At 35.3% G+C, this 18,846-nt stretch overlaps 1 protein-coding gene across 29 annotated transcripts in view; it reads right to left on the bottom strand.

Annotated features, from left to right (window-relative positions):
• BBX (BBX high mobility group box domain containing) overlaps positions 1–18,846 on the bottom strand; it is a 288,378-nt gene that overhangs the window by 23,459 nt on the left and 246,073 nt on the right. For 23 of the 29 annotated variants that reach the window (XM_024453646.2, XM_011513001.3, XM_047448599.1 and 20 more), the window contains 3 exons: positions 14,245–15,253; positions 13,024–13,162; positions 9,362–9,510 (listed from right to left, as the gene is read on the bottom strand). In XM_024453646.2, coding sequence (XP_024309414.1) covers positions 9,362–9,510; positions 13,024–13,162; positions 14,245–15,253 — 1,297 coding nt within the window. The remainder of the gene's footprint in view (positions 1–9,361; positions 9,511–13,023; positions 13,163–14,244; positions 15,254–18,846) is intronic. The other 6 variants (NM_001276286.2, XM_024453663.2, XM_024453664.2 and 3 more) reach the window with 1 other exon arrangement.

Genomic DNA, 18,846 nt, shown 5'->3' with positions numbered 1-18,846 from the left:
GGATCTCTGAACCAGCCATTACCTTGCCTAGAAAATGTTCTTCTCCAAGATGGCCTAGAAAATGTTCTTCTCCAAGATGTCCGCACGGCTAACTTCCTCACCTCCTTCAAGGCTTTACTTAACTATCTTCAGACCACTCTATATAAAACTGCAAGCCAACCCCATGCCCATCACTTGATCTCCCGTTCCCTCACAAACCTATTGTTTTAACTGATTTTTAAAAACAGCTTTGTTGAAATATAATTAACATACCATACAATTCACCCATTTAAAGTATAAAACTTGTGTTTATATTCAGATATTTGCAACCGGCACCAATTTTTGAACATTTCATCACCTCAAAAATAAATTCCAAACCTTTTTAATACTACTACTCCTATACCTGTATTCCCCCTCTCCCTAAGCAACCTCTAATCTCCTTTCTGTCTCTATAGGTTTGCCTATTCTGGAAATTTCATATAAATAGTATCATATAATGTGATTTTTGACTTAGCATAATGTTTTCAAGGCTCCTCCATGCTACGGCATGTATCAGGGCTGAATAATATTCCATTTAATGGATTGTTTATTCATTCAACAGTTGGTGGGCCAGGTGCAGTGGCTCACATCTGTAATCTCAGCACTTTGGGGGGCCAAAGCGGGTAGATCACGACATCAAGAGATCAAGACCATCCTGGCCAGAAGAAAGGAAATAATAAAGCTTAGGCCAATTTCTCTACATCTTTGTCAACATTTGTTATTATCTGTCTTTTTTATTATGGCCATCCTAAGGATGTGAAATGGTATTATTCCCATTGTGGTTTTGATATGCATTTCCCTGATGACTGATGATATTAACTGGATTTTCTTGTACTTATCGGCCACGTATTTGTTATATATCTTATTCGGAGAAGTATCTATTCAGATCACTTGCCCGTTTTTATGAGCTGTCTTTTACTGCCAAGTTGTAAACATTCCTTATACAGTCTAGATAAAAGTTTTTTTATCAGATATGTGATTTGCAAATATTTTCTCCCATTCTGTGGGATGTCTTTTCACTTTCTTGGCAGTGTTCTTTGAAGCGCAGAAGATTTAAATTTTGATATGGTCCAATTTATCTATTTTGTCTTTTGTTGCTTGGGCTTTTGGTATCATATTTAAGGATTCACTGCCAAATCTGAGGTTATAAAGATTTGCCCATTTGCTTTGAAAGTTTTATTGTTTTAGCTTTAACATTTAAGTTTTTGATCTATTCTAAGTTAAATTTTGTACATTGTATGAGGTAAGTGTCCAACTTCATTTGAATGTAGATACTCAGTTGATCCAGAATCATTTTTTGGAAAGACTCTACTGTTCTCATTGGATATTCTTGGCACCCTTGTTGAAAATTAGTTGACCAAAAATGTCAGGTTTATGACAGGTTCTCTACCAATTCTATTCCACTGATTTATATGTCTGTCTTTATTCTAGTACAACACTCTCTTGATTACCATTGTTTTGTAATTAGTTTTAAAATCAACTACTATTTTCTTCTAAGATTGTTTTGTTTTTTCTGAATATCTTGCAATTCTACATTAATTTTAGACTCATTTGTCAATTTCTACAAAGAAGTCAGCTGGGATTCTAAGAGGGGTTGGGTTGAATCTGTAGATCAATTTGGGAGAGTGTTTCCATCTTAACAATAAGAAGTCCTCCAATCCATGAACATGGGATGTTTTTCTATTAATTTCTATCATATTTGTTTCAGCAATGATTTGTTTTCATTGTACTGTACTTCTTTTGTTAAACTTATTTCTAAGTACTTTACTCTTTTTGATGCTATTGTAAATGGAATTGTGTTCCTAATCTCATTTTTAGATTGTTCATTGTTTAAGTGTATCAAAATATAATTAAGTTTTATCTAATGACCTTATAACCTGCAGCTCTACTAAACTCATTTATTAGCTGTAATAGTTTTTTGGTGGATTCCTTAGGATTTTCTATATACAAGGTCATGTTATCTGAGAATAAATATAATTTTACCTCTTCCTTTCTAATCTAGACACCTTTTGTTTCTGTTTCTTACCTAATTGCCCTGGCTAGAACCTCTAGTCCAATGTTGAATAAGTGGTGAGAGTGGATATTCTTGTATTGCCCCTTTGCCTAGGGGGAAAGCATCCAGTATTTTACCATTAAGTATCATGTTAGCTGTGTATTTTTTGTAGATGCCTTTTATCAGGCTGAGGAATTTCCCTTTTAACTCTAGTTTGTTGAGTAATTTTTTTTTTAAAGGGCATTGACTTTTATCAAATGCTTTTCCTAGATCTATTGGGATGATCAAGTGGTTTTTGTTTTGTATTCTATTAGTAGGGTATGTTACACTAATTGGTTTTTGAATATTAAAGCAAACTTGCAGTCATGAGGTAAAATCCCATTTAGTCATGATGTATAATTCTCATATGTTGCTGAATTTGGTATGCCAGTGTTTTGTTGAGGATTTCTGTGTTCACATTTGTAAGAGATATTGATCTGCAGTTTTCATTTCTTGTGATGTCTTTGTCTTGAGAATGTCTTGAATGTCTTTGACATTAAAGTAATACAGGTCTCACAGAATGAATTGGGAAGTGTTTACTTTTCTTGTAATTTCTGGATTCATTTGTGAAAAATTGGTGTAAATTCTTTTTTAAATGTTTGGTAGAATACAGTGGTGATGCCATCTGGGCCTGGGCTTTTTTTTTTTTTTCCCCCAGATACTTTAAAAATTACTAGTTCAATGTCTTTATTAGTTATGCATCTATCAAGATTATCTATTTCTTAAGCCAGTTTCAGTAGTTTGTGTCTTTTTAGGAATTGTTCATTTCATACATGTTATCTCATCTATTGGCTTTAGTTGTTTATAGTATTGTTTTATAATCCTTTTCATTTCTGTAGCCAGTAGTAATGTCTTCTATTTCATCTCTGATTCTAATAATTTGAGTCTTCTCTTTTTCTTCTTGGTCAATCTAGCTAAAATTTCTCAATTTTGTTATTTTCAAAGGACTAGTTTTTGGTTTCATTGATTTTTCTCTACTGTTTTAGTATTATTTAATTAATTTCATTTCATCAACTTCTTCTCTAATCTTTATTATTTCCTTTCTTCTGCTTCCTTTGAGTTTGGTTTACTCTTCTTTTTTGAGTGTCTTACAGTAGAAGGCTAGGCTACTTATTTGAGATTTCTTTCTTAATATAGGCATTTAGAGCTATAATTCTCCCCTTCTCCCTCTAAGTTTGCTTTAGATGCATCTCTTAAATTCTCTTATACTGTGTCTTCATTTTTATTCATTTCAAAGTACTTTCTGATTTCTCTTTGATTTCTTTTTTGATGTGACAGTTATGTAGAAGTGTATTTAATTTCTATATATTCGTGAGTTTCTCCAATTTTTTTCTACTACTGATTTTTAAATTTCATTGTACTATGGTCAGAGAACACACTCTGTATTATTTCAATCCTTTTATATTTATTGGTTGGTTTTATGGATTAACATATGGTCTACTGTGGAGATTGTTCCATGTATGCTTGTGAAGAATATACATTCTGCCATTACTGAGTGGAGAGTTCTATATGTTTGTTAGTTCTAGTTGGTTTGTAGTGTTGGTTCCAGCCTTTTCTTGTTGATCTTTTGCCTAGTTGCTCTATCCACCAATTCTTTTTCCACTGTACGTCTCACCTTCAAACAAATTATATATTTTGCTTATTGCTTAGGCTTATTTATTGTCTGGTTCCCCCATTATAATGTAATCTTGATGGCAGTAGGGTTGTTTTCATTCACAGATATAATCTAAATGCCTACAATGGTGCTTAGCACATGACAGGTTCTCAATATTTATTCCATGAACAAATAAAGCTCTTAATGCACTGCTTATCACAAAGTAAGAGCTCAAGAAATTACAGCTGTTGCTGTTATTACTGATACCATAAATCTGTGCAAGTGTTTTTTGATGACTACACTAAGCAATCCTTCTAAATAACCAATAGCAAATGCTTCTAAATTGACTAGCGGTGGTTTGAAATGAAACTAGAAATGCTTCCTTGTTTGCCTCTTTGGGAAAAAGTGAGCAACAAGAGAAAAGAAAATAAATTTAACAAGTACAAAGAAAATATATCACATGTACATACTACACTAATATTACAGGTATCTAAAATCTATTTGCAATCACTGCCTCATGTGTTTTATACAACCCAAGAAACTAGGCTGGTGGACCTGAATGATACATAGGCAATCATGGAAAACCAACGTAGGAGAAAGGAGAAAAATTACTACTCAGGATTATAAAGATCCTAGTGATTTACCTGTAGGAAAATAACTTAATAATAGGGTATTGGCTCATAGGAAGAATGATATAAAGAAGTAGTTCACAGAAGCAAAATGATTTGACGTATGCAGTGTGTTAGGAAAGAAGAAAAGAAATACATATTTTTGGACCCAATCATAATCAGAGAAATCTAAAAAGTAATTTAAAGACTAAGCTAAAGATAGAGCTTGTCAATTTTAACATGAAAAAATAACAATCATAGTAGTTTTGTACACAGAAGAGCTTATATAAACTTACATTTTTAAAATTCCTTTCTTCTGGCCACCCCCCAAATTATAGATATAAAACTACTCTAAGTAAATGACAACTTCAGATGAAAAAAGAAAGTGACAAACTCGAAAACAAATAGATAAGATTTAATTGTAGTCACTGAGAAGCAGCCATTTTAGAGTCAAGAAGTGAAAAATTTGATTTCTGCCAATCAGCATAGTGTATATGTTGGGTATTTTGTCTACAGAAAATAAAGTCAAAATCTGTAATAAATAGCAAATATAAGGAAATTTACTATTACATCTTTTCCTTAGTCAATTATTATATTAATGTAGAAGTATCCATGGAGGAGGAAGAATGGTAGAAAGTAAAATGCAGAAGGGCTTTTAGAAGGAATCATTCAGAAAACAAATATTCACAACTGTTCTTCACTCTACTATGATATCTCAAGCTTCCGTCCCATCTCTTTCCCTACCAAATTTCTTGAGGGAATATCTGCATCAGCTTCAGCTTCCTTATGAAAAAAAAATCACTCATTGCTGGTATGCAAACTGGCTTAGGTCTCCACTTAAGTTTTTGGGCAGATGACCCGTATTCTGAAGGTATCAATCTCCTTTGCACCTCAACTTCACAGCTGGGCAGAAAACAAAAGGGCCAAATGACAAGCCGAGAGATTAGGAGGGGTGCCAGAAGGACACTGACAATAACCTTTCCAGAACATTCTTGTTCAAGGTTTGCTGAAAAATGAATGTTTTGGGGGTGAGAAGTTGCAGTGACACAGGAGCCACTTCAGCATGAGCCTAGCACGATACTTTCTCAAGGTCAGTGAGTAAGGTGAATTAAGTGAACCTGCTCTTTACACCTGTTGTGAGAAACAAATGTCAGGCGTAACTCTGGTGGTGGTGGCTTTTGCCCAGGTTCTATAGTTTCATGTTTTTAAACTATATATATGTGTATATATATAAAGAGCAAGGGTTTTCTTCTAAGACTAGGCTACCATTTCTGTATTGGACTTGTAAGTAATGAGTACCCAATGAAAAAATATATTCCTATGCAATAATTTATAGCAATGTGCTCCCACCTGCAGGGCATGTGCATTTACTGACTTGAATAAGTTCTCTGAGTCAATCAGTCACAATCAAGTTAAGATTCATTCAGAGGGAGGAGCCACTTCATTGGGCTGGACATGCATGCATTGTTAAGGAACTCAAAATTGTATCAGGTATACGTTTTATACCTGCAAAGGTGCTGCCACCATATTCCTGTAGAAATCTGGTGGCAGCGGAGACTTTCAAACAGTTATGGAGAAAGATACAGAACTCTGCCCAATCTGGAAGCTAAAATTTCCTAATAGGAGATCTATCATCACATCTCGGCTCTGTAAGACTGAAAGTACTATTGGCTTGGCCCCACCTCAAACAGAGGATTCTGTCTTTTCAATCTTGTAAACCTGCTTCTTTTATTCCCACTGTGATTTTTTGAAAGACTCAATGCCTTAACCATTTTTGATTTTAGTCTTAAAATGTAAGTGTGGATTGAAAAAATATAAGAAGGATCAACAGTATGTTTGATAATAGGCCAAGGAACTATGTAAAGATAGAAGGAATAAGGTGAAGAAGTGAGTCTAATAAGTCAAGATGAGGCATAATTTCAACACAATTTTTTTTCTCCATGATCCTACTTCCACTGAAAAATTACTATTCTACAGAGAACTGACTTCTAATACTTTCGTAAACAATGCTTCATACATTATCAGTACATGTAAAAACATGTGTAAAACAAATCTCTTAGGAAGTTACAATTAAATTTAGACATATAATTTAAAGCTTTCCTTTAAAAATATTTCAAAATAACAGAGAGATGACTCAGAAAACATTAAGTTTGGGCTGATTCAGCTGAATTGCATTGTGAGTTAGATTAGAATTTACTGGATAATTCATTTTTAGAAGGAAAGGGAAATCCTATTCCTGTCATCATGCTCTGTTCTATAACATAGCCCAAGTTGGAGGAAAGTGGCCTTTAAAGTTATTTTCATCCCTTTTCATTGTCAAGTTTTTGACAAGACCTATGACACAGACATAAGAGGAAGGGCAGAGATAGTAGGATGACCATGGGAAAGACAGGAAGAGACTCCTTAGAAATACAGATACGAATATGGAGACTACTGGGAAAACAGAGGAATAAATCCAAGCAGGTACTATGACTTTGAGATATACAACTATATAAATGCATACATACAAATTTATTTTAGAAATTACACTTTAGAAAAATTCTATACATTTTATGTAAGCTGAAGTACCTAAAAAGGCACCTAGTATAAGTCATGAAGGAAAATATAATGAATATTGAATGATGACAAATGAAAAAATAAAATATAGACAAATGGCAAATTATCAGAGGAAAAATTAGGTTTCTGATGGACATATACTCTTTTATTAATGAACTAATGATCTCATACACAATGTTTGCTCTGAATGATTCATTATGCAAAGGTGGAAAGGGTCTAGAGTCTAAGAAAATAATCTCCTCTGTCCCCTAAAGATCAGGCAATTACAGCACAGCTGGTATGATAATTTCATTAATAATAACTTGTAGTCTAGTATATTGGTGCTGCTAATGCCAAATTACAATCAGTCACAAATACTATTTCTTTAGTTTGCTGAATAGATAATATATTATTTAATTTCTGCTTATTTTAATTGCATTTTGCTTCACAAATCTGAAGGCAGAACAAAATCTCATCTTGGAAGACTTCCCACATATGTAATTACTGATATACTATATAAGAACCAGTGACTTTGTGGCTTGAGAGGTATAATGGAAGAGTTAAGATGATATTGTATGAAGTATAATCCAAAGCTCCAAAAAGCTATTTCACATCAAAAGAAATACTGTTAATCTCAGCTGGGAGAGAAAAATCGTACAGACAACTAAGACCCAAGAGAAGGTCTCATGAAAATAGATCCTAACTTCAGGGTTTTATAGCTTTACAAAAATAAATCTATTGTTACATTCCCTGAGACATAATTCAGCCAACTTCAAAGCTCTAACGTGAATGTTTTGGGAGTGGAAGAAGGAATAATGTCCTGCACATCTATCAATTAAGTTCCATTTTATTGGCTTGTCAGGTATTTATCAGCAACTTTAAATCCAAGAATTATGGGAGCTCAAGATACTTGGTATCTTTGGGCTCATGGACTACTTTTCCTATTCCTAAATATCTCCAGGGCACAGAGACTATCATTTCATTTGGCAATCCATTATGGTGCTCAGCTCCCTACCTGTCAACAAGCCTACTTTATTTCTATCTTGGAAGATCTTGATACGACCCTATTTTATTTTCTCAGACGAGCAAACTTGGCGATGCAACAACATTTCTTTTTTAGTTCTTTATTCACTAGACTTGTTTTTATTAACCACAGAGGAAAACTGAGCTAATTCTAAAATGACGTTTCTATACCTCCCTGGCTTTAATCATGAAGGGGAAATTTTCTTCAACCTTTCAGTTCTGTCTTGAGATACAGATCTCAAATTGACCCTGTTTGGTTGTGTCAATTCCAGTGTGCAAAGGGTTTTTAGGCTTTGAAGGAGAAAGGTTCAGGTTTCTCCAGAGAATAAACCATAATTTTCCCTCATCTATATATCTTAAATATTCCCTAAAATGCATGAAATTATATCTCTTTGTTAATATTTATATCTGATCGATTAATTGGTCTATTTAAAATACAAAAGAGTGGAATTAATCTGATTTGATTAAATTATCCAATTTGATGAAGCAGGCAATAGGCAGCAACTTTTACAGGATAATTAAAATAACTCTTCCAGCAAATCCTGCTAGAGTCTGATCTTGAAAGCAACTACAGCCCAGCCACCCAAGTTCTTCATCTCTCTATTCCATGTCCTTATAGGAGAGCCAACTGAATGAAGTATTTCATATATGTATGGAAAACTAGAGGTACATTTTCCCTATCAATCTTTAGACCTTAAGAAAAATCAGAAGGTAAGTTTCTCAATGAAAGCAATATTGCCATTTTGGGTAGTACAGTCCTTCACTGTGCTTGAAGGGCAAGATGTTTAGTACTCCAGTGCCTGTCCCACAAATGTCAACAGTGGTCTCAGGTGATGAGAGCACTGAAAATGCCCCCACCCTCTTACAATCCCCTTTAGGACTGCAGCATTGTCACTGATGAATGCTGAGATCCATCCAAGTCATGCTGATAACTTTAAAAAAGCTTCCCTGATATAGGCAGTAGAGAAGCTGATTACTTGAAAATGAATATACTAAACAAAGCATTTTTTAAATTTAACAAAACCAATGTATATGTGTGTGTGTGTGTGTATATATATATATATATATATATATATGTTGCTGGAGGATTTCAGGTAGTTTTATTTTCCTTTGGTCTATAATGCCAGTAAAGAGTAGTTAGCATCTGCTTATCAGGTGAAAAGAATGATTTACAGTCCCCGAGTTCAACCTGTTGCGGACACAGGGAACAGAAGAACTGGACTCAACCTGCAGTTTCTGTTCAAGAAAAGGTTAACATTCCAAATTAGAATTCTGGAGAGCAGGAGGTTGAAGACCATGTGTAACATCTTTGCAAAAGCTTAGCTACACCATCACGGGCAAATATACAGACTGAGATGCCAATGGACAGAGGCTACAGAAAATAAGGAAGAAAAAAAGGGACAAAGATAATCTTGGAAAGCAACCTAAGATTCTAACTCCCTACTGCCTCAATTCCAAATCCAATGATATGTCTAAAGGGAGCTAAAAGCTTGGCTGAAGGGTCACTTGAGATTCTGACCACATGGCAGGAAGGTACAGGTCACACCTAACCTTTGCTGGTTTTAGTCGGTTCTGAGGACACATTTCCAGTCTTCTTCTTTTTTCTTGGGACAGGTACACATTTCCGGTCAAATGTAACAGGACTATATTGAGGGAGGCTGTTGAATTTTTTTTCAAATTCTTCATCCAGCTTTGCGGAGCTATTAAAAGGGGAGAGGGGAATCAATCAGCACATGACCAAATATGACACAGAAAGTGACATGAAATATATTTTAGGATATTCTATTTGAAAACAGGGTCTCTGGGAATTAGGTAAGTAAATTCTGTGCAAGGAAAAAAACACCTTTTCTGAAATGCTTGAGATTTACCAACACAGTTTTCTTAGTAAACTCGTATGACAGGTTATGTTATTACCTTAGAAAAGTAGAAACATCATTTATAATATTAGAATATTTCTGAAGTGGGGAATTTGGCATTTTCTCCACTGGCATGGGAGTTTTTCATAAAGTTCAGTACAAAGCATACTCTATTCATATAATTCTCATTTTACAGACTCATATACATGTATATATGGCAAGCTTATTAAATTACCATATGATATATTGGTATCAATATCAATCTTATTAAATTAATAAGCTTATTATTAATAATCAAGCTTATTAAATTACCATATGATATATTGGTAGTTTTGTAAAATTAGTTTCTTTAAAAAAATGTACTGACTACTGTTTGATTAAAACATACACAAACAAAAAGCATTAATACTAGGAAAACATTCTGGAGAGTGGACTAGAATGAAGACAAAATATTCAATGAGCAAAGTAAAGCCAGTTTTCAATGAATGCAATGGCACAGAGGCAACATGCTTTAACTTAAATCATCAATGACTTCAGAAATGCCACCCGTAAAGTTGGGCAATCTCTGGGCTGGTGCTGACTGTCTCTAGGGTCCCACAGCAATGGCAACATGCCTGCTGGATCCTAGGCTGGCTTCTGGCTTTCATTAGGTGAGACTTATTAAACTAACATGCAACCTAGACAGATGGAAGAGGCTGTAGGACAACTGCTGTGCCTGGTAGATGGAAAATGGAAGAAGGTGTATTGGGAAGAGGAGAGCAATTTTAGTACCAGCTTATAAGCAGTAAATGTGTTAGGCTGCTAGCTAAGGGGTGTCCTAAAAATGTTTTTAACTACAACTGTTTTGGAGGAATATACAAGAGTTGAGAAGCAGAGATAAGAGGGTCAGATGACCAACTGAATGGTCAACAGGAAATGGCAATTATGGAAGCACCCCTTTACTGGAGGGGGGATATACTCCAAGTCCCCCAGTAGATGCCTGAAACCGCTGATGGTACTGAACCTTACATATGCTACGTTTGTTCCTATACATGCATATTGTACAGTGAAATATGATAGACAAAGGTATGATTTATGCAGTGGGTGGAATGAAGTGGGATGGCACGAGATTTCATCATGCTACTCATTGTGGTGCATAATTTAAAACTTATGAGTTGTTTATTTCTGCAATTTTCTATTTAGTATTTTCAGACCCAAAACTGCAGAAAGCAAAAATATGGCTAAGGGGGAACTACTGTACTAAGTTCTGTCAAAGCAATAAAGGGTAACGGGTGGAGGTGATATTTTCCCCTTAATAACATCACCATTTCTCATTTAGTTAAAAAATGTTTATTCTGATGGAAAATCAGATACAATTGGATACTAATTAAATACTATCAGAAAGCTGTCTATAAGTTGTGAATTTTTCAAATACTCTGAATACCCAAAAGAAAACTGAAAATGTGAGACGTAACTCATAAGGTCTCTTGAGACTTTTCTTAAAAAGAGAACAATAATAATCATTTATGTTTTTCTTAGAGAAGTCTATAAAATTAGATCTGTCAATACTGAGAGAATTTTTCTTGGCTACAGTTAACAGGTAGCACATTTTCTGAGATAAAAAAAGGTTTAAAATGCTCATCTACAAATCTCAGAGCAGACTGACAGGAAATGGCATTTCTCCCTGCTTAAGTATTATACTGGCGTGTTCTAAACAAGGCAAACCCAAATACTCGAATCCTGACAGGCCAATATTTAAAGGGAGAAAGGAGGAAAAGGCACTGAAGTTTACTGTTAATTTACAGCTATAAAAAAGCATCTCCCAGTTATACACATGTGCCTTCCTCAGAAATGATTAAAAAAACAAACACATACAATCCACATACCAATCTCTTTTCAGGAACAGATTTTCAAGATTGTTTCACTTATCTTGTTCCTCAAAGAAAATTGATGAAAATCTCTCTTACAGCTTCAGCAGTTTCTAATAGAAGCATCAGAGAAATGCTTCTGTTGGGGAGCCTCAATGCTTGCTTTATTCCCCTAGGACCTCACACTGCCTACATAACACCTGCTCCTCTCTCAGTGAGCAGACCCACAAGGCAGTGGCAGTAATTCCAGACTACAGAGAGCACTGGTCTAGATGCTTGCAGGTCATTTTAAAATGATATTCTGCATTTACACTATGATTTGACACTGAAATACGAGGATTTTCATGTCATTACTTAAGCAAAATGTAAGCAAAACTAATTTGAAGTACTTTGGATTTTTAAAAATATTAGAAATGAAATACATAAAATTATAAGCAAAATTAATTTGAAGTACTTTGGATTTTTAAAAATATTAGAAATGAAATACATAAAATTATAAATATATCATTTCAATAAAAATAATCTTAAAGAGCCAGCACTATGGGAAATAATTTCTACCTCGCTACTTTGTGATGACCTAGAGCCTTAGAATTAGCCAGACTTAAAGCACTGTGACATCTAAGGAAAAATATATTATTCCACAAAGAGATATGCAAATATTATGAATAAATCAAATACAATACACCCAATGCATACAATTTGCATAGCTTTAAACACACTTTTGAAAAAATATGGTGAATATAACAATGTACTTATTTCTATTCAAAGTATTCTTTTCAAATTGAGCCGACAAGAAACCTCAAGAATTTTCAAAATAGTCTAACTGAATATGCAGATACTTTCCTCACCAGTATAAAGTATTGGATCTCCTAACTAACAAAATACTTTATATTAAGATGGTTATTAACAGTCTTTGGCATAACGTTAAATATAAAATAATTCTTAAGTGATTTTATCTTGATGCATGCCATTGCTTAATACTGCATTTCAATATATAATTAATATATTGAATGTTCTCTACAGCAGAATATTTGACCTGATATTTTTATCTTAGAGCAACAGAAGACAGCTGGAACAAAATAAAGTTGGCGATAGAAGCATAATTTCATTTACCTTACATTTTTCAGCTGTCATTTTATAAACAATAAATACATATAGTATGTAAAATGGGCAAAATGTAAACATGCTAATACTATCCATTCTAAGCTTCGGATGGAAAAATGCATCCTGGTGAAGGGATGTTGATTCAAACTCAGGTCCAAGTCTAAAGTCTATATATTTTCACTATGATCAAAATGTGAATGTTACTGTCATTCACATGACCATGTTAACAGCAGGAATGATGTGATGCACTTGATTTGTGTTCACTAGGGTGCCTACTAAGATTGTAGGAAGTCCTGAGCGAGTAGTCAAAGAACAAGCATGCGTAGTTAGTGATCTGTTTACCTTGAAAATCCCACCCACACTTGAGGCTTGTGGAGTACAGGTGACTGTGCTCACAGGCACTTACCCAAGGAGACAGTCTTCTTTTGGCTTTGTCTTCTTGAACTTCTTGCTCCCACTGGTCCCACTCTGACTAAATGTCCAGCTTTCTTCATTCCAACACCCTTCATGATCAGAGGAGTTTCCTTTTCCTGAGCTTCGTTTTCCTAAGAAAATTCAAGAGAAAGGATGTGTTTGGTATACAGGTGGGCGAGGGGAGATGATGTTAGTTGCTTCACGAGCAACCTCTTGACTGCTTGCATATCATTTGCATGAAGCTAACTGTAGCTATTTCAGAGTTCTCAGAGTGATTCATGCTGGACCATCTTTAATAATGGAACATGCAGAAAAGTGACTTAGAGCTTCTGGGATTAATTGTCATGTAATTCAACAGGTATCACATGACTCAAAGAGACAGACTAACTGCTGCTAGCTTTTCCATTCAAAAACCAGCCAAGGTATGGGAGTCCTTTGCTGGTGGGCACTATTCAGTCTAATTTCCCTAAAACTCACTGAACTGACATCCCTGGGGATGAAATAGGCCCAAGTATCTTCATTTGGGGCTTGTTAGACCTAGGACTCACACATGTCTTGTTGGAATATAGCTTGGCAAAAGGTAGTCCTCCAGGCAGATGCTATATTTTAAAATAGAGAATTTATATAAAACACTCAATGGAATAAAGGTAAACAGGTTAACTATTTTCTGGACATTATAATGTTTTAAAGAGCTCTTCGGTTCAAATGATGCACCCGCCTTGGCCTCCCAAAGCGCTGGGACTACAGGTGTAAGCCACTGTGCCTGGCCCACTTCAGTTACAGCTTTGATTACCTAATGAAGAGAGAAAGGCAGTTGCTTCTAGAGCCTACAGGTGAAGATTCTGACAAACATACGTGCTTGATTCTCGAAATTCCACCAGTTTTCAAAACCAAACCTAAAGCTCTGAATATTTAATAATAATCTTTCAAAACAAACAGCCAGCCCATACCAGTGGGGGGAAAGAAGAGATTAAAATTACTTTAATTACATCCTGAGAACTACCTACAAAATGAATACACTTCCCTTAATGGTGCTAGAAAACATGTAAGTAAAGTAACAAATAATTATGATCTATAAACCATAAAGAAATATACAAATGTAAGGTATTATTTTGATACCATATTGTTTTTTATGGCAGTTGTTTTCAATAGGTCTAAAGGTGAAATTCTGTTTGGTTTTTGAATTCTTTTCAGGTTTGTAGAAGTTACTTACCTCTGTCAACATTAGCTCGCAGAGAGGTGAGCATGCCCTCAGACACCAGGGTTTTATAAAGAGCACCTTTGCAAGACCTCTCGGATTTCCTGGAACCACAAGTTTCTATTTTTCTGTGACAGTCACTGTCCTCAGGCTTGGCCTGTCCTGATAGGCTGGGTGGTAGTGCATCTTCCATAGGGGTCAATGGTTCTGCTTTTATACCCTCTGGTGTCTCACCAGAAATGTTCTTGCTAGCAGAAATACTAATGAAATCTGGAGGTCTTGACTCTTTGGTGGTGTCTGAGGATTTCTCCTTTGACATTTTCTTCTCTCTTGATTTCACTTTTTTCTTTGGTGGCTTGGCATCCAAAATGCTTCCCTTGCCACTTGAGGATGTGCGGACCTTCTTGCGAGGGGTATCTCCAAGTTTCTCTATGCCCCAGTCTCCTTTTGCGACGGCTTCAATGGTATATATGACGCTCTCAATGTCAGATTCCGAAGACTGCCTCTTTTTGCAAGTCTTCTTGGGTGTGGATTTATCATTTCCATGTCGATCCATTTTGCTTTTCTTCTTTTTCTTTTTTAGCTTTTCTGGCTTGTTTAATGCTGCGGGATCCTCAATGATCATAATTCCATGAGGATGGCACATATGATCCTTTCTACTGGGAACATCACTAATTATTATCTTGCTACTGGCAGAATAAGAAAAATCAGGAAAATGACTACATTTGTGATCTTCTTCTAACTCTTCCTTTCTAATTTCTTTGGGATCTTCCATTTTTATAGCCATTATGTCATCTATTTGCAATGCCTCAAAATTTCTCAATTCCTTAGAATCTCTTAAATTTTCCTTAGCCGATTTTTCAAATTCTGCTTCCTTCTGTAACCTAGTTTCATCTGTTTTCTCCATTTTAATTTCTTTTTCTTCCTTTCCCTTCTCTAATTCTTTAATTCTTCCACCATCGGATTCTTTTGCTTTTATTAGCTTTGATTCTTCCATTTTCATCCCTTCTGATGCCAGGCACATCTAAACAATTAAAACAAAATGGGAGAGCACCCGAAAGTATCCTTATTATTCCACCTTCAAAATTAAAGTTTTCAATTATATCTGTTTTAAAAATAATCAAAACACACTTTAAACTTTACAACAATCAGCCCACTTCTGCCAAACTAACTGAAATGAATCAAATTGATAGAAGGCTGTGGGCACTGTTATACAGTCATTTAACTCGTCAAACGTATCTCTGAATTGTCATTTTCTAGCTTCAACAGAAGCTTTTCCTATGAAAACAAGACCTGGAAGAAGGAGGAAGGGATTCAGAGTTGAAAGACCCAAGTCTGATTCTTAGTTTTGCTACTTATTAACTTTGTGACCCAGAATGAATCACTTACCCCCTCACTCCTCTGTGGCTTCTGTAAAAGGAAAACGATCCTAGGACCTATCTCAGAGGATTCTGTGTGGTCTAAGTGAAACGATGTACTTAACTGTAGCACAGGCTGAATATCCCTTATCCGAAATGCTTGAAAACGAAAGTGTTTCAAATTTTGGATTTTTTTTTTTATTTTGGAATGTTTGCGTTATATACTTACTGGTTGAGAATTCTTAAACCAAAAATCAGAAATCCGAAATGCTCCAATGAGCATTTCCTTTGAGCTTCTTGTTGGTACACAAAAAGTTTTGGATTTGGCAGTATTTTGGAGTTTGGATTTTCAGATTAGGAATGCTCAACCTGTATTTAATCATCCTCAAACTCTGTTCAGATATCTGCCTTTTCTTTTTTTCCAGGGGAAATGAGGAAAGCAGAAATAATTTCTACCTGTCCACTTGAAATTAGAAATGATATAACCATTTGCTAAACAATTACAGAAGGTTTTGATTAATGAACAAAACATTATAGGTCCACAAATGCTGATAGACAACTCTAAAGTCATAAATGCTCTGAGAACAAACTTGTTTTTGTTTTCTTAACTCACTTGCTGGCAAATTGATCTGATGTGAACTCAGCTGGCTGCAAATTCTGACCTGAACCAACCTGAAACTTTATAGTCTTAAATAGTTTATTTCACTTACTGTGACCATTCATACTTTTTGTTATTGGAATAGTGGTGCATTCAAATATGCACTGGGGAAGTTACTTAGTGTAATATGTATCTACTGTATAATTTTCCTAAAATCTGAAAGATTCTGAACACCAAAACCCATCTGGCCCCAATTTGGTTAAGTTTTTATATTTCTCATCAAAACTCCCCAAATTTCACGTACAGAACATTCAAGGGGAAAGTTGCCATTTTCCTCTCTGGCTCCCAGATACCTTGAAACTTTAATATAGAGCTATTTTTTAAAATGGGAAATTTAAGCTTATTGTAAAACCTGTTTTCAGTGCCTGGGTTTTCATTTATACACACTTAACTGCAAGGCTCCCAAAATGCCAGCCCCCATGGAGGACACTAATGATACAAAAATCAATAAGGTCAGGTCTGTCTGCCTTTGAGGAACTTATAAAGAGATTGATGATGCCGATTTGGTCAAGGGCAGCAAGGAAGTCTTAGTCATAATTTATTTTATCTACTTTGTATTAGCAACTTAGAAGGGAAAGAGTATTGGGGGTTGCTGAGTCAATGCAAAATCAAGCACATGAGTAGGAAACTGATCTGTTTTTAAAAACCATCATTTTATTAAATGGCAAGTTGTCAGAGATCATTACCATCTGTAAAATTCATTTTTAGGTGGATAATACATTGAATTAAATACCAGATGCTTTTTTACCTCATTTTTCTCTTAGTATTTTCAATGCATCACCAATCTTCCTGTGAGAATTATGTTATGATTAGTAAGTCTGGGAAGAAATTAAAGAAAGGGTGGAGAGAGGCAGACACTGCAATTAAAAAAAGTGAACATGACAAGAGCACACAGCCCTTCGGATCATTCACAGGGAAGACATGAAATATTAAGGATTCACAACAGAGCTGTCTTTTTCAGGAATTCAGGTAAGCTAACCTTTAGACCTCAGCAAGTGGCTATGAAGACTATGAACTTCTCTTTATTAAACATAACCAGAAATAAGCTCAAAGCAAAATGTTATCTTAATTCTGAATCACTGAAACCTTTAATATTCCCTGCATGTTTTACTCTTATGGGAGAATGTACTATTTTTATATCAATTTTGAAATAATTTTTATTTTCCTTTCTCAACTTCTATAGCCCTTCGTGAATAACTATCCCATGTGGGGGGAGAGAAATTATACTAGTTCTGGAAAAAAGGCTAGAAAGGCATTCTCAAGGTAAATTTTATGATTTTTCAGCCACTGTCACTCTGGTGGCTTTTAATAGGTCACTTCAGGAACATTTACCTTACCGGCGCTAGTTTTTAGTGGTATGCTGACAGTTTGCATTTGCACAGGTTCATCTTAGCAAACTTAATAATATTTTGCAAACTCTATTCTAGGCTTCAATATATTTCAAAATGATTCTCTCATCACCCCTGAAAGGATTCTACAGCTAGGAATGAAATGGAACAAACACAGACATTCACTCTGGGGACGTATTCTGGGAAATAGCACAATATTTCTTGTGTAGGTAATTACGCTGAACACTAGTCATGCTTTACTTCCTCATTTCAGGCTCTTAAAAATTTTTTCACAGATTATGTTAATCCTAAATTATAGGAAAAACAATTATATTGCTGGAAGTGAAACTATACATGTAAATCAAATAACTCTGAATTAAAACTACAAATCACAAATCTACTCATTAACCGAAAACCCAATCAGACTCTCAGAGTTGGGCGTCACTCTAGAGGTTTTCTACTTTAACCTACCCAAGGCAGGAATTCATTTTACTACAGTATTCCTGAGAGTCAGTTAAGCAACTTTTGCACAAAGACAGTGAGCGTATCACTCTATCAGACAACAGTTCTGCTTGAATTTTTAAAATATTGAGCAAAAATCAATCAGCCTCAGTTCTGTTCCCTGAAGCCACATGAATTCACTCTTGCTCATACGACAGATACGATACTCGAAGACAGACTTTATGTTCCCGTAAGTCTCTTCCCATCTCCCTTAACAGCTCATCACATGTAAAGGCTTCCACACTTCAAAAGTTGGGTCCCTCTTACCTAGATGCAGTAGGTGTCCTGAAATGAGATGGGTTTTATTGAAAGGGGCTGGGCTCATGACCAAGCATCCTAGTTTGCTTAAAGCTCCAACAGTAAGCTATGTAACTTAGACTTGAACCCCTATGAGGAAACAGAGGCTAAGAAATGGGGTAACAGTACATCCTACATTGGGCTGTTGTGAGGCAAAAGTGAAGAAATGTATATGCAAACACAACTTGTAAATGATACAAAGCTTTACAAAGCTTGGGGAAAATGGATACTTCAAAATTTTTTCTATCTATCAGATTATCTATCTATCCTATCTATCTGTCTATCTATCTATCTATCTATCTATCTATCTATCTATCTATCTATCTATCTATCTATCTATGAATGATAGAGTCGTGCTCTATTATGTAGCCTGGAGTGCAGTGGCATGATCATAGCTCATGGCAGCCTCGACCTCCAGGGTTCAAGTGATCCTCACATTTCAGCCTCCCGAGTAGCTAGGACTACAGGTTCATGC

This window comes from Homo sapiens, chromosome 3 (genome assembly GCF_000001405.40).
Source record: "Homo sapiens chromosome 3, GRCh38.p14 Primary Assembly".
NCBI classification, from domain to species: domain Eukaryota; kingdom Metazoa; phylum Chordata; class Mammalia; order Primates; family Hominidae; genus Homo; species Homo sapiens.
The sequence above is the reverse complement of the archived record's forward strand: the minus strand, read 5'-3'. Positions and strand labels throughout refer to the sequence as shown.